General features: G+C 40.4%; 1 protein-coding gene and 1 pseudogene across 6 annotated transcripts in view; both read right to left on the bottom strand.

Annotated features, from left to right (window-relative positions):
• The window catches only part of CNTNAP3C (contactin associated protein family member 3C), a 131,026-nt gene that overhangs the window by 98,572 nt on the left and 10,898 nt on the right, over positions 1 to 21,556 (bottom strand). For all 6 annotated transcript variants that reach the window (XM_011545672.4, XM_017015380.2, XM_011545674.3 and 3 more), the window contains exon 2: positions 10,771 to 10,881. In XM_011545672.4, the coding sequence (XP_011543974.1) occupies positions 10,771 to 10,881 (111 nt within the window). The remainder of the gene's footprint in view (positions 1 to 10,770; positions 10,882 to 21,556) is intronic.
• LOC100420438 (ubiquitin specific peptidase 12 pseudogene) lies at positions 5,166 to 5,708 on the bottom strand (annotated as a pseudogene).

Raw genomic sequence — 21,556 nt, 5'->3', positions numbered from 1 at the left:
GGAAACAAAAACTCAGGGAGATAAAGGAATTTGTCCAAAGTCACACAGCTAGTAAGGGGTAGAGCCTGGATGATTCCAAGCTTATCCCTAATCACTAAGGATAAGATAGCACACTTCCTTCAAGGAAGTTAGAATTGCACAAACCGTAAGAAAAGTATACAAATACCTAGTAAGCACACTGGCATGTGATAAATGCTGAGAGCTTTTTAAGGGAAAGTGCCAGACATATTTAGCATGCAGGCTTAGTAAAAATCTAGATTAGGTCTGGCAGCCAAAATCTAGATTATGACCTGCTTTACACAGCCAGAGAACTAAGAATGGTTTTACATTTGTAAAGCGTTGCGTTTAAAAAAAAAAAAAAAAAGAGGGCGGGGGCTGGGTATGGTGGCTCAGGCCCGTAATCCCAACATTTTGGGATGCTGAGGTGGCTGGACTGCTTGAGCCCAGGAATTCAAGACCAGCCTGAGCAACATAATGAGATCCCATCTTTACAAAAAATATAAATGTTCGCTGGGTGTTATGACATGTGACTGTGGTCCCAGCTACTCGGGAGGCTGAGGTGGGAGGATCACCTGAGCCCACAGAGGTTGAGGCTACACTAAGCTGTGATCTTGCCACTGTACTCCAAACCTGGGCAACAGAGCAAGACTGTGTTTCAAAAAGAGAAAGAGAAAGAGAGAAGAGGGGAAAAGAAAAAAAGAGGAAAGGAAAAAAGCAAGGAAGGAAGGAAGGAGGAGGAGGAGGAAGGGAGGGAGGGAGGGAAGGAAGACAGAGAAAGAAAAAAGAAAAAAAAGAAATGTAACAGAGACCTTACATGGTCCACAATACCAAAATCATTTTCCATCTGTCTCTTTACAGCAGAAGTTTGCTAACTCCCATGTTTAAATTTTATTTTTAATTGATGAATAATAATTGTACATTTTTAAGAGGTGCAATGTGATGTTTGGATACATGCATACACTGTAAAATGATCGAATCAGGCTAATCAGCATATCAGTCACCTCAAATATGTATCATTCTTTTAGCGGTGAGAATAGTTAAAATCCTCTCATATATTTCAAAACAGACAACACTTATTAACTACATTCACTATGCTGTGCAAAAGAACAACAGAAATTATTATTCCTATCTACCCAAAACTATGTACCTACTGACCAACATCTCCCCCTTCCCTATCCACCCTCTCCTCTAGCCTCTGGTAACCACCATGCTACTCTCTACTCCTGTGAGCACTGTCTTTAAATTCCACATGTAAGTGAGACTATATGGTATTTGTCTCTCTGTGCCTGGTTTATTTCACTTAACATAATGTCCTCCAGGTTCATCCATGTTATCACAAGTGTCAGAGTTCCCTGCATCACGGGTTTTAATCCACACCTTTGATGTACTTGGCTCTAGTAAGTACAAGCGTGGGGGAAATGTAAAACTCTTTTGGTGCAAGCATTCTGCATCATGTTTCAGACTTTCAAAGAAAATTTTAAGTCATCCTCAACAACATCACATTAATTTGAGGCTAGAGAAGATACGGACTATAACCCTGACAAAAGCCACTTGAGCAAATCCGTCAGAATCATTCTGCAGGTATAAATTTTTAAATCACAAACTCATGAGGGAAAATGTAACTTCATTTCTCCATAACCCAGAAAGCTTTCTAGTAGGAGCTGGAATTCTGGCTGATACACAGACTGGAAGTAGTCACAGCAGGTGTCTCTGTCCAGTTAAGGGATAAGCCTGTCAGTTCGTGTCTGTATTGGTCGCAGACCCTTGAAAATTCCTTCAGGGGTTCTTTTACTTCCCCTTCATCCCCAGAGTTAACTCTGGTCTCTTCTGGCTTTGCTAATTGCCTTGGTAAAGCGGGGAGGGGAGTGTGTTCAAGCCCCAAGTAGAGGTCAGCACTGCACTGTCCTCAGGGATGGCGACCTGCTGCCGATGGAGCCAAGTCCTCCCATCCCAGGCTGGGACAGTGCTCTCCACAACGTTTTGGTGACCCTTTCTCCTCCCTCTGCCAGACCTCAGGCAGGAACATGGTCTTGCTCACCTGCCTTTGGTACCTCAGGGTGTCCTTGGATAACTGGGGCTGTCCTCACCGGCCACCAGAGCTGCAGCAGGGCGTCCAGTCCTGTCACTGAATGTGCCGCAGCACAACGAGGATGCCGTGCAGGCTGCTCTTGGAGACTGGCGTCCTCCTTTCCACTACACACATGAGAGTGCCCACTCAGATCCCTGAGCTTCAGTGAAGACTTCCATTAAGCCACCACCGGCAAGGCTCTGCTTGAGAGCAGAGCTTCAGGGCAGTCCCCACCTCTCTATGCATCCTATCGTGCAGTCCTGCTGAGGGTTCCTAGTCTGCGAGATAGCAGAAAAATTAAAACACCTTTAGCCTGCTCAATTCCCTTTCAAACTTTTTCTACCTCAGACCAAAAGATGCTTTTGGACTTCAGAAGTGAAGATTAATGCCTTGGTTCACAGTCTCTGCAATGATCCCCTTTTCTCTCTACAGAAGACTCAAGACAATCTGAGTTAGGAGCAAAGACGGAGGTCTGAGGGCACTGGCGAAAAAATTCAGTGAGCTTGGAAGCAGGGTCATTTATGTTAATTGTACATGTCATCCCACACAGAAATGGCCTTTATAGGAATTATCAGTGTCGTGAAGAAAGTTTTGATTTCCATTTTTAAACCTCATATCCCCTCATCAAAAGCTCCCATCATGAGTTTCTGGCTGACTTACGCCAGGACTCACAGAATGATTCATCCCTACATGAAAAAGTATTTTCACCAGCCTCAAAGGTTTTCAGGAATTACTAGATCAAAGAATTGTTAAAGAAACTTTCCAAAAGCTCATTCTACTTGCCCCTCCAAGCAAAATACTAACTTTGTGATGGATTTTAGACATTCCTAGTCCGTAACAGCGGCATGAAACTTTTTTTCTTTTTTTTTTTTTTTAATAGAGACAGGGTTTTGATGTTGCCCAGGCTGGTCTCCAACTCCTGGGCTCAAGGTGATCCAACCGCCTCAGCCTCCCAAAGTGCTGGGATTACAGGCGTGAACCACCCTGCCCGGTCCCGCACAGAAGTTTTTGATGTTAGGTGTACCACCTTCAATGATGGCTGTGTGGATCCAATATCTGCTTCTCTTTCATTCATAAAATTCACCAAGTTCACATTGGAAAACATTATTCTATGGTTATTCCAGAAAATATTAGATTATCCCCATTTTGTTTGAAAACTGACTGAAAATATGACATCATGTTCCCATCTGGCAGGAGTGCACAGCAGGCATGGAAAATGGGGATGAGTGCGTCCAAGTTAGTTCCAATTTTCAAACATTCATCCCGCACCGCCTGTTCAGTTGCCTGGGTAAAATTGCCCCACGCAGAGAAGCTTTTACCCCAGGTTAATAAAGATGCTTTTTATATTAGTATTTGAGTTGTGGTCACTAGTAATGTTTTCTAGTTCAGATTGTGAAATTTGTATTTGTTACTATCTTTGTTTTTATACCTCAAAGAACCATTTAGAGTCACTGATTCATGTCCATAAAGCAGGAACTTTCCGAAATTTAGTAAGAATAGCTAAGTACAAATCTAAAAAAAAAATTACATACTTCAGAAACTAAAAATGCATTCACTGAGATGCCTTATATCCTAATTAAATATTAGCTGAATTGTAATTGATCTTACATTTTGATTTTGTGAAATATATATTGCCTTTACTCCAAAATTTACTAGACCACCTTCTTACGTATGGCAGTGGGCATTAGGTGGCTTGTGAATTTGAGAACTGCTCTATGGGGTTAGTGTCTGAGATTCATCAACTGAGCATGGAACAAGAAGAGAATAGCACTTTAAAGAACATTAACTGAGGACTTTGCTAAGCATTTATTTAATTAGGGAAAGCTTCAAAAGTTGAAGTTCGATCATGGGACTTTCAAAATAATCCAAGTGAGACATGAAGAGACTAAGCTGAGGGGGAGATCCATGGAAATGATGTATTAGAATCATAAGCATGAACTGTTTCAACAGACAATACACAGAATTTGGAAAAAGGAGGGAGTGATAACTCTAAGATTTTTTTCCACAAATCAACATTCATACATATTATTTTGTATTCATATACTGTGATCTTCATGGAGTAAGGTGCTAATGTAAAAAAATTGATTATTGGAGTTTATAAAAGCAACTTTTGACCATTTTCTCTGTGTGTGTGTCTACATAGCAAACTTACTTCCTCAGAGAAGCAGAAACTCTTTGTCTTACTGACACTGGAATCTATCCTCTGTAGTTTTATTCCATCAAAAAGATAACTAGGCTGGGCGTGGTGGCTCATGCCTGTAATCCCAGCACTCTGGGAGGCCGAGAAAGGTGGATCACGAGGTCAGGAGATTGAGACCATCCTGGCTAACATGGTGAAACCCCGTCTCTACTAAAAATACAAAAAAAAAAAAAGTTAGCCAGGCGTGGTGGTGGGTGCCTGTAGTCCCAGCTTCCTGGGAGGCTGAGGCAGGAGAATGGCGTGAACCTGGGAGGTGGCGCTTGCAGTGAGCAGAGATCACGCCACTGCACTCCAGCCTGGGTGACAGAGCGAGACTCTGTCTCCAAAAAAAAAAAAAAAAAAAAAAAAAACCAACAGCAAAAAAAACAGATAACTAAGACTTTGGCCCTACAATATTTACACTCTGCATGGAAAACAACCCACCAAATATGTTTTCTGTACTTACTGAAAAACCACCAACTATGGTTTTATATTCACTGAATACAAGTAAATTAATGAAACATTTTCAGGACAATCAGGCACAGATTGCTATTTTTTCTATTGAGTTGAGATAATTATTTGGGCTAATAATAGAAAGAAAGTGTGTATCCACTCCTGGAAGGCTGTGTGCTGTGCTATAAGAGAAGCTGATGCCTCTGCTTCCCCATCTTTGTTCTGTGGAGCCACACAGGCAGCCTGATACCTGGGCAAATGCTTACCTGCCCAGATCCGAAGGGCTGGTGCACCCAGATTCGTGGCTAGGTTGTGTGCAGCACAAATTCCCGCCTCTAGTTTCCCTGCTTTCCTCTTTTCCTAAGAAATCAGTACCTGAGCTTTTTCAAAATAACTGGAGAAGAAATGAGGCAGAAAGTATCTTTTTAAACACAATCCTCATTCACTCAGAAAATTGAGAAAAAAGTTCTAAGTGATAATTGATGACAACCTGTAAAATTTTTCAACAGCTTGAGTGTCTATTTTATCTACAATATTGTCATCAACTCATAACCAAATATCACAAATAGGCAGCATAATGGCCTCATTAGGGCAGTTTCCACAGTGACCCACACCATCAACAATGGCATGCATCTGTCATGCATCTTCCCAGAAAGTCCTAAAATTCTACAGGAAAAACCTCTTGGAAAGAAAGTTTCAAACGTTGATGAGGTCCACCCATATAGTTAATCTCTTCAGGTGAGAAGCTATAAACATAAGACGCTTCTTCGGTTTCATCCATTTTGTAAACTCATTTGCTGAAATGTTCTTCACAGTAATATCTGTGTTCACTGCATTGTTTCCAAGTATTTAAAATCCCTGAAGAAGTAAGTAATCCATGTGTTTTACGCCATTTCAACAGAAATGTCTTAGGCAATGTTTATCTTTGCTGCTTACAGATCCCCAAATGAGACAGCTTGCTTCATTAGTGAAGGCCCCTTGAAAAAATTCTCAAACTCTCCTTCGGTCTAACGCATGGTTAGTTATTGTACATTCATTTTGCGACTTTAAAAAGGAGCAATTGCAGAGGTGTCAAGCCACAAATAACAATGCTGTCTAACTTCGTTAGACCATGAAAACACATGGGGTTATCCTTGCAAAAAAGCATATGTATTGTTTAATTTATTGCAGTAGCATCTTGAATCACATCTATCGTGAGAGAATATAAAATCTTTTTCATGTTTTTCACACACTGTCATAACTTATTATTGTTTTCCATTATCTTAATATTCTGCTGTCTAAGAGATGTAGCCCCTGGGTGACCTGAAAGTCTGGTGAAGCTAGTATGATCAGGGATATAATAAGACAGTGACCATCTATGGACCTTGGACACAATACTAGAGAGCATGATAGATGCATGTGGGCCATAATGATGTTGATATTAATACGCTATTAATTCCTCTCTGACTCCAGTAAATCATCTCCACCTTGTCTAGGTTTTGCATTTCCAAATGCTTGCCCTTTCTCTCTTAATAATTCTCCTTAATATCCCACATTCCTTTAACCTGAGGTGGAAAACTCATAAGTGGGGAGGGAAATCCTAAAACTCACTAGGTGACACAATACACTAAAGCATTCCAGCTTGGGTCAGCAGACATGTTACAGCTGCAGACTCTTATGTTTTCTCTCTTTAGACCAAAGAGTTTATCTCACACTCATCATGTGTTGGTCTGTGAGTGGCCAAGACAACATTCAATGAGCAACCAGCAAACCCTCCCTTATGCTAGAATGCTTACTTATGGGGATACTAAAAAACACTAGGTCTGTTATAGTTCTACTTGGAAACTTCAGATGCCTTTTCTTCTAACTCTGAAATTTTAATAAGATGGAAGAAGCACTTTCTGCATAATTGTTTATTTAAAACTAAATGCAATTCCAACCCAGAAGAGGCCTCTTTTGGATAAGACTAGCCAAGTTACAGATGAAGACAACAGGGTCTTAGCTGTCAGTGAGATAGCCCTCTTTGATCTTGGGAAATTCTGAAGGAATTTCTCATTTCAAAATAAGAATAAATACTTTTGGGTAAAGGGAGGAGAGAAAATTCTTCAGGTCACCTTCCATTTTTTCCTTATAAACAAATTACAATCAGTTGACCTCAGCCTAGCATTTTGATTAAAAATAACTCAAGATAGGACTGAAAGAAAACACCAAGAAGAGAGTTTTATCCTAATCTTAGAAAGGCATATTCATATGACAACCAGCATAAGAAGCAAGGAATCTGAATTACAGAAAAATAAACTTTAAACTGAAACTGCTAATATAATAAATGCAGAGGAGACACAGGGCAGCAAATGCATAAATAAATGTATGTCTTTAGCCAGTATGTGAATGATACCCAAAACGGCTGGTTTTCCATCTCAAACAGTCATGGAATAACAACTTCACAGTGTTTATTAATTGTTGAAATTGTCTAAAATAAGAGATTATATTTTCACAAATTCATTTGACACAGACACAGCTATAAGCACATGAGAAGACAGGCCTAAGGAAAAAGGTAAAATTAATTCACCTATGTCTGTATTTGTCAACTAAACAAAGCATCGATCCATTTATTATAAAGTATAATAAAACTAAGGACAACCATTGCATAATTAAATTGCCTCTGAAAGCCAATTATTGATTATGGAGAAAACCAAGTTTTACAACTGTATGTGTGTATCATATAAAGATTTCATTTCCTAATACAGATCATTCATTATTCATTTTGAAATGTTAAGAATTTACTATGTGCCAGTGTATCGTTTGAAGTCTCATATTTTAAACATTTTAAACTATAGGTTAATTTTCTGAAATTTTCGATTAGTGTCAGAAGAAGTTACAGAAAAAGGAATAACAAACATGTTTAAATAATTAAATGGTTTCAATGGCATCTCGGAATTTCTTTGATATTATTATCAAAATGTTTTCTTCAATTCTACTCAAAACCTTATTTTTTTGCCCTAAGTCTTTGTCAGCTTATTTCAGTCTTATTTTTACATGTAATATACCACAGAGTTCTTCTTAGCTTCAAGTGATGCAATGTGAAAGGTGTAGAAATGCACACTGACCCTTAGCCTCTTAAATTTACAACAGGTCGGCCAGGCGCGGTGGCTCACGCCTTTCGGAGGCCGAGGCGGGCAGACCACGAGGTCAGGAGATTGAGACCATCTGGGCCAGCATGGTGAAACCCCTCCTCTACTAAAAATACAAAAATTAGCCTGGTGTGGTGGCGGGCACCTGCAGTCCCAGCTACTCGGGAGGCTGAGGCAGGTGAATCACTTGAGCCCAGGAGGTGGAGCTTGCAGTGAGCCGAGATTGCACCACTGCACTCCAGCCTGGCAACACAGCAAGACTCCATCTCGATAAATAAATAAATAAATAAATAAATAAATAAATAAATAAATAAATTTACAACAGGTCACTTTATCCTCAAATTAGCCAATACCATGTTAGAGGTTATACTGAAATTCTAACTATGAAGATGTAGAAAGCAAAAACATATTTAATTAGTTATAATCCAATCTGTGCAATATTCATGATAATACATTTTTACAAGTTGAAAGTAATTCTGGATTATGCTTCATAACTTATGAAACCTTTGGTGGAAAAACTGAGTCTTCCCCATTAAAGGGAATTAAATAAGTTGCTTATAAAAGTGCATTAACTTGTTTGGCCCATGGGTTCATCATTTAGTGGCATGGAAGAACTAGTTTACTTGTGGTATCCAAGAGGCATGAAGAAAGACACCTCCAAAAAGTCCATTTTGATTCTTTACACTGGGACAGACGGGATGCATAGCTACCTTGTTCCCCTCTCACCCCTCAGGCTAAGGCTTGAGTAACTATCGCAGCTGTTTCCATGGCGTCTTCCCATCACATGGGTACAAGGCACTGGGCTGCACAACAGGGAAACTACTTGTTTTCTGCCTGTTAATTTTTAGCTCTGAGATCTTTACACTCCACTGGAGAAAGGCTTTAATGTCTGAGACAGGGGGTCATTATTTGTTAGTTTAATTATTTATGATCAGAACATTTGTTCAGTCACTCTTCCATAGACCATTCTGAATCTAATAAAGGATAATAAAACACTAGAGATAATCTATAGCCTTCAATAAATCACTCCCAATTTGGAACTCCTTTGATGAATACTCCAGGCTACCATGAGGGAGAAGAAAAAAGTCAAAACCAATTAAAAAAAGCAACAACAATGAATTTGTAATAAACTCAGTTGATAGCTAACTAAAGTAAGCCTGTTTTTCTAACTTCATTAACATGAAAATAAATTTTATTAAGATTGATATCATGCTTTTTTGCACGAGGAGTTACAGGAACATGAACTAAGAATAAAAATGATCCCTATGATAAAGAATCCTCATAATCATGTACTTTAGTACAAAATATGATTTGACATCAAGAAGAGCTATGGCTTGAGATTGCTCTTGTTTTCCTTTACCCCCTGTGCCCAGGCTTAGTCACTGTTTCAGTGATAATGACCATCCACTGAGGCTCTGCAGCAATAGAATCTAAAGTAACAAAACAGAGCCCATATCTCTGCAACAAATGAAATCACAGACTTAAGAAACATAAACAGAAAAACAAAAAGTTAAGTTGTTCATGTTTCATAGCCATACTGCCTATAACAAATGCCAGAACATATTTATTTGGTCCAATGTGCAATGCATTAAATGTGCTCAAATACAGAAAACACCAAGAAATGCAACAGGGAGTTAAAAAAAAAAAAAAAGGCTGGGCGCGGTTACAGGCTCACGCCTATAATCCTATCACTTCAGGAGGCCGAGGTGGATGGATCAGGAGGTGAGGAGATCCAGACCACCTTGGCTAACATGGTGAAACCCCGTATCTACTAAAAAAAAAAAAAAATACAAAAAATTAGTCGGGCCTGGTGGCGGGTGCCTGTAGTCCCAGCTACTTGGGAGGCTGAGGCAGGAGAATGGCGTGAACCCAGGAGGCAGAGCTTGCGGTGAGCTGAGATTGCACCACCGCACTCCAGCCTGGGTGACAGATTTTGTCCGTATCTGCAGAGGAAATGGGAAAAGCCAAAAGGAGGGGCGACAACTGATGCTATGGGGAGGAGCTTTACATTCAAATGAGGACACCTCCTGGCATCTCCGGATGGAGCTCCGAATTCATTACAGTATTACTTAAAGGATTTTATTAAAAGACCAAACCACACTGCACTTGTGGTTGAATGCCTTTATCAGAGATGAATCTTACATGTGTTAGGACAGGCTGACAGTGGCTCCCAAAGATATGTCTATGCCCCAATCCCGGGACCCTGTGAAGGTTACTTCAGAAGGTAAGGTTCTCCAGATGTGATCAAAGACCCTGAGACGAGGAAATTATCTTGAATTATCTGGCTGGGTCTTAAATACCATCAGAACTGCCCTTGTAAGAGAGATAAAGGTGAGGATGAACAGAGCCCCACACAAAAGAATAGTCACAGTGGAGCATGAATAAACCATTTTACATGGTTATTTCTCTACAGTGGATGCTAAGGAGAGAATCAAGTCCGCCATAATAAGAAATAAACTAAGAGTTGTAGTTAAAACATAATAAAAATCTTTTTAGACGCTTCTTTACTTTGCCAATTTTCTCATCCAAATAGGGATAATTAAATAATCTGGGACAACAAAATGTATACTGTGGCAGAACAAAAGAATCCAAGGTAAAAAAAAGGACATGACAGAATCTAAGGTCTTCGATAAATAATACTCAGATATTGCAAGGGGTATACAAAGAGTTCAAACACTGTCAAAGTCAGGTGTGACATGTTCAAGGCACACAAAGATCGTACCAAGGGAAACCCAGCAGGACCAGAAAGCCGAAGTGATCAACTTATTCCTGTCAAATACATTCTTGGAGTTTCAAATGTGAACAAATATGCTTATTCTGAATTTTACTTCCTTCTGCAAAGTATTAATCAATTATAATTATAATTATAATTATTTTGTTAAATGAATTATAATTATTTTGTTAAATGAAAATCCAATGAGAGTCACCAAGGAGCAATACAAGGAAAAAGGCAGACTCACCATCTCTTCGATTAAGCCTTGAAAACCCCGGGCCGTGGCTGCTGGACAGCTCTGAGGAGCTGCTGAAGGATGACCTAGGCAAGGCAGAGGCCAGTGGGGCATCACAGTCAGCTGCCGGGAAAAATACCGTGATATGGTTAACACTCAGATTGCAGCTTGGGAGAAATAATAGTCCAAAAATATATATGAATATATTCTAGGATGTATGGCAATCATCACTCCTTTTTTAATTTTTTACAATTTTTAAAATTTACATTGCAGTATAATTTACAGAGAGTAAAATTCCAGAGAATTTATCTGATGTTTTTAAAGTGTACAGCTCTATTCATTTTGACAAATGCATTCAGCCTTGTAACCTCCACCATAATGAAGACATAAAACAGGTCCATTAGCCCTCAAAGTTCCCTAATGTCCCACATTTTCTCAATTCTGCAAGATGTCTGGGTACATCACCCATCCAACACTACTTTAAACTCAATTTGATGCTTAGGTTCTTTAGGTGCACACACACAGAGGTAGTGTGAATTGTGTGCCCAAACCTCAATAGCGGCTAGAAATTCTCACAGTGCCCCAGCACAGAACCTGTGGGGGATGGGAAAAGTGAAATGCACCAGGTGTTCAGGTCAGAGTTACCTGCGTGAAGCCAGGACCCATGAAAGGCAACACCTGTAGTGATGAACTGGAAAAAGCCCACTCTGTAGACCCCTCCAGAGGGAATCACTGCGGGCTACTTGCCTACAGGAGATGGAGGCTCCTCCTTTTTGCCTGATAACTTGAGCATTGCAGGAACTTGCTCTGCCTTTCCAAATCACGCTAGACCAGAGGGTTTCTGGCTTGCTGCACTTCCCTAGGCTTGTTGATTTAGTCTCGGCGATTAGCTCTGCCTAGGTTCCTCTCTCCCCACTCTATGGTCTTGATTTGTCCCCTGACCCCTGCCTGGCATCACTCTTAGCTTCCCACTTCTCCTTGACAAGTATTCCCAGCATGCTTTGTGATTCCCAGCATGGTGCCTATGAAGGGTTTGGGACAGAAACCATTTCTTAGTATTATGTTCATGAAAGACAGCAGAAGATTAAAATTAGCCTAAGGGCTTCCTGTATACAAATCAACATTGCATTCACAGATGTGCTAGTTTACGACAATTTTTACCACATGAATATGAAATGATTAAAAAATCAATTTGAGGAATTGCCCTTACCTAAGACAGAGATGATATACTTTTCAAAACAGCATTTCATTTGAGTATGTTAATTCTTGCACTTATTTAATAAAAGTGTATTGAGCACCTACCATGTGCAAAGCATTATGGGGCATAAAGAGAGACATGGTTCTAGGTTCAAGAAGTCCAGAATCTAACATGGGAGGGAGATGTGTAAATATCTGTTATAGGAAATAAACAGAAGAGCAAAATATTTAGATACTACTATTTATTCCAAAACACAGGGAAGCATCTTAATTGCTTAGGAACAAAACCAGCCTCTGAAAGAGCAAACACTACTAGGGAGAGATGCGTATAAAAGTGCTTCTGGAAAAGATAAACATAAACCATGCATTTTCAAACAGCAATTCATTATTCTGGGATCTGATAATAAGAATGAAAAAAAAAAGAATGCATGTATAATACATGGACAGATTTTGTCCGTATCTGCAGAGGAAATGGGAAAAGCCAAAAGGAGGGGTGACAACTGATGCTATGGGGAGGAGCTTTACATTCAAATGAGGACACCTCCTGGCATCTCCGGATGGAGCTCCGAATTCATTACAGTATTACTTAAAGGATTTTATTAAAAGACCAAACCACACTGCACTTGTGGTTGAATGCCTTTATCAGAGATGAATCTTACATGTGTTAGGACAGGCTGACAGTGGCTCCCAAAGATATGTCTATGCCCCAATCCCGGGACCCTGTGAAGGTTACTTCAGAAGGTAAGGTTCTCCAGATGTGATCAAAGACCCTGAGACGAGGAAATTATCTTGAATTATCTGGCTGGGTCTTAAATACCATCAGAACTGCCCTTGTAAGAGAGATAAAGGTGAGGATGAACAGAGCCCCACACAAAAGAGAAGAGGGTGTGAAAATGGAGTGAGGCACCCACAAGGTGAGGCACATGGGCAACCACAGGAAGCCGGAAGAAACGAAGAATGGATGTCCCCCTAGAGCCTCCGTAGGGAGTGTGGCCCATCTTGATTTTGGACTAGGGATACTGATGCGGAACTTCTGGTCTCCAGACTATGACAGAATAAATTCTTTTGCTTTAAGTCAGCCAGTTTATGGTCAATTCTCACAAGGGCCATAGGAAATGAACACACTGTTTATATGGAATTACATATTGGATATTTTAGGGGAAATGCAGGAGAGTTCCAATGAAAATACGATTAACATCCCTTTGAATCACACAGATACTCAATTCCTTCTCAGAAGGGCTTCGTGATGCTAAGCCACTCTGCCAGGCTGTGGCTCTCCCCATGCTTGTGGCTGCACTTGCTCCTCACTGTGAAAGGAGCTAACCACTGTGTTGGCGGAACCTAAGGATGGAAGGAGAGGGGAAGGGGCCACCGAACTGCTAATATGAGGGGACGGCACCTTAACCACCTTCGAATTATCAGAAAAACACAAAGCCTACTATTAAAGAGTTCAACAGATGGTTACTGTGTTATCACAGATGTATAGAAAACCTCTTTGTTCTAAAAAAAAAAAAAAAGAAAAAAAAAGATTCCTGTCCTTTCTCAGACTGTCTCGATTAGGTCAAATTCACTAACTCCACAGCAGGCTTCTCTCTGGTTCCACATATTGAGTCAGTAGGGAGCACGGCCTCGGGAATCGAATCACAAACAGGGAAGGGGGTGCCCATACCTTCTTCAGGCCACGTCTGGATGTTCATCTGGATACGGCGCTATTCCATTCTTCCCATTTCATCACCTGTCTTTTCAGTTCTTAATGTACCTTAACATTATCTTAATGAGAGGTTAAATAAAGCTTTTATTTAGAAGGTACCAAAAGTTCATCTTGTTATGAATCTGAATTGATCTGTGCATTGCTATCTAGAGGGAATGCTTCGGAAAAAGCACATTTTACTCACAGTGAACATAAGCAGTAATGGTCAATGTAAAAATCTACTTTTTTCCATATAAAAACTTCTGTTTTACATGGTCTTGATCTCCATTCGATTATCTTCAGTCACTGTCTTCCCTACATCTCACTCCATGGGGTCTGAAGGGGGCTCACCCTACCACCTGGGGCCAGCACAGGGACACGCCTCAGGCCTGGCAACTGAATGCCATGCCTGTCCTACTGGAAAGGACTGGTTCCAGGATGGTCAGGAAGCCCATGCTGAATGAATGGGAACAGAACCTGGGACTTTCGAATGAATAACAGCAGAACCTGGGACTTTCGGCTTGAACTCTTGGGAGAAATACCCATTCATTCATTCAACAAATATTTGTTGAAAATCTATACTGTGCCAGGTATGCCCCTATGTTCTGGGGATATAACCATAAACAACAGAAAAAGTCTCTGCTCCTGTGAAGCTTATCCTACTGAGTAGAATAAACAAATAAAGGCATAATATCTGTAGAACTCAACATTGCTAAGAACAGAAATAAAGGAAAACAGTCACGCTTCTAAGCTGGTAAACGGTATGCCTGAAGCTATGGCATAGACAGAGCTGCCCAAGAATGAGGCCAGTTGTAGACGAAAATAAAACTGCAAGAAGGAAAGAGGCAGACTGCTGATGAAAGAATCTGATTGCCTAAATTCAGCCTGGCTTCAATCAAGACACTTTGGTTCCCTTTATTGTTCAAGTCTATTTGATCTTAGATTTTGGTCACCTGAAACTGAAAAATGCTCAATAAGTACACTGTCCTGAGCCCCCACCCTTATCTTCCCTCTACAGCCAATAAATTGCCAAGGATTATGTACTTTTTGTGTGTATATGGCAGCTTTTCCATTATCATGATCATCATCTCACTGTAGGTCCTCATGTTAACGACCTAACTAATCCTTACAGCCAATGCTTCCTTATTGACTGTCCCCAGCCACACACACACCTTACGTATCACCAGAGCAGAAACGGTTTTAAACTATTGCTGAGTGCAAGTCACACAAACAGCCATATCAACCAGCTCCAATGGATCCCCACTGCACCTGTCCTGAAATTCAAATTTCAGGTCCTGGCATTCAATTCCTTCCATCGCCTGTTTCCTGTCACTCTCTGCACTACAGCCAAATCCCCTACACATTTCTCAGATGTGCTTCCTCCTTTAATCGGAGTGGTCTTCTCACTGTTTCCTGAATGTGGGATGCATGCACCAACGCTCCTTGACCGCTCACCCGATGACATTGCAGCCCCTCCTGTCTGCGAGTTCCCATCACTTATTATCTTCAGGGCTCAACTCAAGTTTTGTCTCTGCTCTGAAGGCTTCTCACATGTGTGAAGGCCCCAGTAAGGCTTACTCTTCTGAAATACTGAGGTCTGTCTCATGGAAAATGAATTACACCTCTGGAGAAGGAGCAGCACCTCACTCACGGGGAGCCACACAGCAGCCACGTGTGGCGGCAGATGGGGATGAGAGGGAACAGGAGAACCTCACTCCCGAGAAAGGAGCCTTGCCTGCTGACTGATGATTCTGGGGTGAGGAAGAGAGGCTGGCATGACCAGCTGATGAGTGTCTGGTTCCCGGGACATGACAGACAATTCCTACAGTCTACCTGTGGGAACAGATGAGGCCTGGAAGAAGACACATAGAAACAGGTTTAAATTCTATAAATTAGAATTTACAGGGGGTAGGAGATAGGAGTTACACGTTGTCTCTCCTTCCAGATGATATTTTGACTTGTTAAAGAAAACCTAGCATAGGAACATTGAATACCTCCTGACATTGGTGTTTTCAAGTGACTTACAGCACTACAAATATAAAGTTATAACAACAGCATACCAATTTTAACATACCAGGACCAAGGACTTTATTCTATGAGAACTACAAAAGACACAACACAAATGAAGACCTAGAGGAAAGTTTACATAGTTTTTTTTTTTTTTTTTGAGACGGAGCCTTGCCCTGTTGCCCAGGCTAATTTTTTTTTGTATTTTTAGTAGACACGGGGTTTCACCATGTTAGCCAGGATGGTATCGATCTCCTGACCTCGTGATCCGCCTGCCTCAGCCTCCCAAAGTGCTGGGATTACAGGCGTGAGCCACCATGCCCGCTCAAGTTTACATAAATTTAAGCATCTTAATTTGATGATCTACTCTACAGTCATTACAACAATAAATATAAGAACTATTTAAACATGTGGAGAGATGAAGGAGATGGGATGGGAAAATCTGCATATGAGAAGATAATGGACAAAGAGATCTGCTGGATTGAGATGAGATAATGGGTGTTAAATCCAACAAACACAGCTCTGGAAACACAGAAGGGATTAAACATAGATCAGCTCCTTTTCCCTGAGGAAGCTGGATAGATGATCTTGTTCTCTTTCCTTTTATTTCTAAATTTCTTGCTATGTAGTTAAATTATACTTCTGTGATAAATTCAATACCTATTTTTAAACTATAGATTTTTGGCTAAAGTATATAATATGAGAATAAGATGAACCTATTTTTTTGAGACTTACTGCTAAGTAGAAAGAGAGGAAACCAAATAACAAAATTAAGTCCTGCAGAAAGACATCAGACACGACACAGAAAAAAATACAACAACACAGGTGCATATAATTTAAAAAGAAAATCATGTGGAGATGTCATCACTAATAATTGTTATTACGAATGTATCCACAGCTGTGGGAATATAAGTGATAAAGATGAGCTGCTAATAAAGGGCAATAAATGATCTTTCCACGGGTACAAAAAAATAGAAAAAATGACCCAGTATTTGATAACACAAGAGGTGACTATAGTCAATAATTACTTAATTGTACATTTTTAAATAACTTAAAGAGTGTAATTGGATTGTTTGCAACTCAAAGGATAATTGTGTGAGGGGATGGATACTCCATTTTTCTTGATGCACTTATTTCACATTGCATGCCTGTATCAAAACATCTCATGTAGCCCATCGATATATACACCTACTATGTAACCACAAAATTAAAAGCTAAAAAAATTAAAAATAATAATAATTCTTTCTATGCACCTCTGAGAGTTGACAGAACTAGCGTCTGAATGAGAACGTAAGGTATGAGAAGGATATGGCTTCTTCCCAAGACATGTTACAGAGGGATGGAAAGAAGACTGTGTTCAACTTATAACATCTTAAAGGGACGTCATGACCTCACAGGCCAGAGCAGGCTACGGAGCATCTGGGAGCTGAAGAAAGAGAACTTCAGTGATACTTAAGTAAGGGTTAAGAGATGCACTCCAATTGCATTCTGAAGACAGATCCCAACAAGACCAATGACATCAGCTAGATTTTTTTCAGCCCAAAGTAATATACCTGCAAATTATCAGAACTTGTTCACTACTCCGTACTTGGCTCTAATATGATTAGTAAGGGGGCAGTGTCAGAATCCTTGAGAAAATAATAACCAGAACATCTTAGAATTTATTGTGCCCAAGGAAGGAGCCCTGTCAATAGACAAATGTTTATTTGAGATGTCAAAAAGATAATTTTAAAACTTTAGGAAAACAGCAGGCATTATCCCATGGCAATATGTTTTATGTCCAAATTTCAACTCTATTATTTCAAGCTATGTGTGTGACTTTAGAGGCAGCTTTGACTTCAATTTTTTAACTTAAAAAGATAAGAGTATTTAGAACACAATGGGAAATGTTACATAATACTACCTTGTAGACCTCCGAGCAACCACTATACAAAGAGACACTGTTGTTATGATTGAGGACAACATCGTTCATCAAATGTGAAAAGCTACCCAAATGAAATCCAGAAAAAACATGTTCCACTGAAGAAGAGAGAAATGGGCAAAGTAACCAAGGAAAGAATATTTACAGTGAGGCTGGGCACAGTGGCCAAGATGGGCGGATCACAAGGTCAGGAGTTTGAGACGAGCCTGGCCAACATGGTGAAACTTCATCTCTAGTAAAAATACAAAAATTAGCTGGGCATGGTAGCGGGAACTTGCAATCCCAGCTACTCGGGAGGCTGAGGCAGGAGAATCACTGGAACCCAGGAGGCGGAGGTTGCAGTGAGCCAAGATTGTGCCACTGCTCTCCAGCCTAGGTGACAGAGCAAGACTCCATACCGGAAAAAAAAAAAGGAATACTTACAATGAAAAGGAACATTAAAAGGAGGCAATATAAAGCAAAGTAAGTTAAAGCCCAGAACAAATTAAGACTTTCAAACATTGCTAAATGCAATCAAAGAGATATTTGTATACTCATAAGAAAAACCAGAAGAAGCTGCACTCTTTTGACAAAGCTCATAAGGCTAAGAAAATAGACAGGTCCGGATCCAAGATGGTCGAATAGGAACAGCTCCAGTCTACAGCTCCCAGCATGGATGATGCAGAAGACAGGTGATTTCTGAATTTCCGACTGAGCTTTGGTGACAGTAGTGGTTCTCCCAGCATGGAGTTTGAGATCTGAGAATGGAAAGACTGCCTCCTTAAGTGGGTCCCTGACCCCTGAGTAGCCTAACTGGGAGACACCTCCCAGTAGGGGCTGACTGACACCGCATACAGCCAGGTGCCCCTCTGAGACGAAGCTTCCAGAGGAAGAATCAGACAGTAACATTTGCCATTCTGCAATATTTGCTGTTCTGCAGCCTCCGCTGGTGATGCCCAGGCAAACAGGGTCTGGACTGGACCTCCAGCAAACTCCAACAGACCTACAGCTGAGGGTCCTGACTCTTAGAAGGAAAACTAACAAACAGAAAGGACAACCACACAAAACCCCATCTGTACGTCACCACCATCAAAGACCAAAGGTACATAAAACCACAAAGATGGGGAGAAACCAGAGCAGAAAAGCTGAAAATTCTAAAAATCAGAGCACCTCTTCTCCTCCAAAGGAACGCAACTCCTCGCCAGCAACGGAACAAAGCTGGATGGAGAATGACTTTGACGAGTTGAGAGAAGAAGGTTTCAGATGATCGGTAATAACAAACTTCTCCGAGCTAAAGGAGGATGTTCGAACCCGTCGCAAAGAAGCTAAAAACCTTGAAAAAGGATTAGACGAATGGCTAACTAGAATAAACAGCGTAGAGAAGACCTTAAATGACCTGATGGAGCTGAAAACCACGAGAACTACATGACACATGCACAAGCTTCAGTAGCCAATTCGATCAACTGGAAGAAAGGGTATCAGTGATTGAAGATCAAATGAATGAAATGAAGCGAGAAAAGAAGTTTAGGGAAAAAAGAGTAAAAAGAAACGAACAAAGCCTCCAAGAAATATGTGACTGTGAAAAGACCAAATCTACGTCTGATTGGTGTAACTGAAAGTGACAGGGAGAAAGGAACCAAGTTGGAAAACACTCTGCAGGATATTATCCAGGAGAACTTCCCCAACCTAGCAAGGCAGGCCAACATTCAAATTCAGGCAATACAGAGAATGCCACAAAGATACTCCTCGAGAAGACCAACTCCAAGACACATAATTGTCAGATTCCCCAAAGTTGAAATGAAGGAAAAAATGTTAAGGGCAGCCAGAGAGAAAGGTCGGGTTACTCACAAAGGGAAGCCCATCAGACTAACAGTGGATCTCTCGGCAGAAACTCTACAAGCCAGAAGAGAGTGGGGGCCAATATTCAACATTCTGAAAGAAAAGAATTTTCAACCCAGAATTTCACATCCAGCCAAACTAAGCTTCATAACTGAAGGAGAAATAAAATCCTTTACAGACAAGCAAATGCTGAGAGATTTTGTCACCACCAGGCCTGCCTTACAAGAGCTCCTGAAGGAAGCACTAAACATGGAAAGGAACAACCAGTACCAGCCACCGCAAAAACATGCCAAATTGTAAAGACTATCAAGGCTAGGAAGAAACTGCATCAACTAATGAGCAAAATAACCAGCTAACATCATAATGACAGGATCAAATTCACACATAACAATATTAACCTTAAATGTAAATAGGCTAAATCCTCCAATTAAAAGACACAGAGTGGCAAATTGGATAAAAAGTCAAGACCCATCAGTGTGCTGTATTCAGCAGACCCCGCTCACGTGCAGAGACACACATAGGCTCAAAATAAAGGTATGGAGGAAGGTCTGCCAAGCAAAGGGAAAACAAAAAAAAAGCAGGGGCTGGAATCCTAGTCTCTGATAAAACAGACTTTAAACCAACAAAGATCAAAAGAGACAAAGAAGGCCATTACATAATGGTAAAGGGATCAATTCAACAAGAAGAGTTAAATATCCTAAATATATACGCACCCAGTACAGGAGCACCCAGACTCATAAAGCAAGTCCTTAGAGACGTACAAACAGACTTAGACTTCCACACAATAATAATGGGAGACTTTAACACACCACTGTCAACAACAGACAGATCAACGAGACAGAAAGTTAAAAAGGATATCCAGGAATTGAACTCAGCTCTGCACCAAGCAGACCTAATAGACATCTACAGAACTCTCCACCCCAAATCAACAGAATATATATTCTTCTTAGCACCACATCACACTTACTCCAAAATTGACCACATAGTTGGAAGTAAAGCACTCCTCGGCAAATGTAAAAGAACAGAAATTATAACAAACTGTCTCTCAGACCACAGTGCAATCAAACTAGAACTCAGGATTAAGAAACTCACTCAAAACCACTCGACTACATGGAAACTGAACAACCTGCTCCTGAATGACTACTGGGTACACTGAGAAATGAAGGCAGAAATAAAGATGTTCTTTGAAACCAACGAGAACAAACACACAACATACCAGAATCTCTGGGACACATTTAAAGCAGTGTGTAGAGGGAAATTTATAGCACTAAATGCCCACAAGAGAAAGCAGGAAAGATCTAAAATTGACACCCTAACATCACAATTAAAAGAACCAGAGAAGCAAGAGCAAACGCATTCAAAAGCTAGCAGAAGGCAAGAAATAACTAAGATCAGAGCAGAACTGAAGGAAATAGAGACACAAAAAAACCCTTCAAAAAATCAATGAATCCAAGAGCTGGTTTTTTTGAAAAGATCATCAAAATTGATAGACCGCTAGCAAGACTAATAAAGAAGAAAAGAGAGAAGAATCAAATAGACATAATAAAAAATGACAAAGGGGATATCACCACCAATCCCACAGAAATACAAACTACCATCAGAGAATACTATAAACACCTCTACGCAAATAAACTAGAAAATCTAGAAGAAATGGATAAATTCCTCAACACATACATCCTCCCAAGACTAAACCAGGAAGAAGATGAATCTCTGAATAGACCAATAACAGGCTCTGAAATTGAGGTAATAAGTAATAGCTTACCAACCAAAAAAAGTCCAGGACCAGATGGATTCACAAGCCCAATTCTACCAGAGGTACAAGGAGGAACTGGTACCATTCCTTCTGAAACTATTCCAATCAACAGAAAAAGAGGGAATCCTCCCTAACTCATTTTATGAGGCCAGCATCATCCTGATACCAAAGCCTGGCAGAGACAAAACCAAAAAAGAGAATTTTAGACCAATATCCTTGATGAACATTGATGCAAAAATCCTCAATAAAATACTGGCAAACCGAATGCAGCAACACATCAAAAAGCTTATCCACCATGATCAAGTGGGCTTCAGCCCTGGGACGCAAGGCTGGTTCAACATACGAAAATCAATAAACGTAATCCAGCATATACACAGAACCAAAGACAAAAACCTCATGATTATCTCAATAG

Source organism: Homo sapiens, chromosome 9 (assembly GCF_000001405.40).
Source record: "Homo sapiens chromosome 9, GRCh38.p14 Primary Assembly".
Classification (NCBI taxonomy): domain Eukaryota; kingdom Metazoa; phylum Chordata; class Mammalia; order Primates; family Hominidae; genus Homo; species Homo sapiens.
Note: the sequence above shows the minus strand (reverse complement) of the source record. Positions and strands in the feature narration are given on the sequence as shown.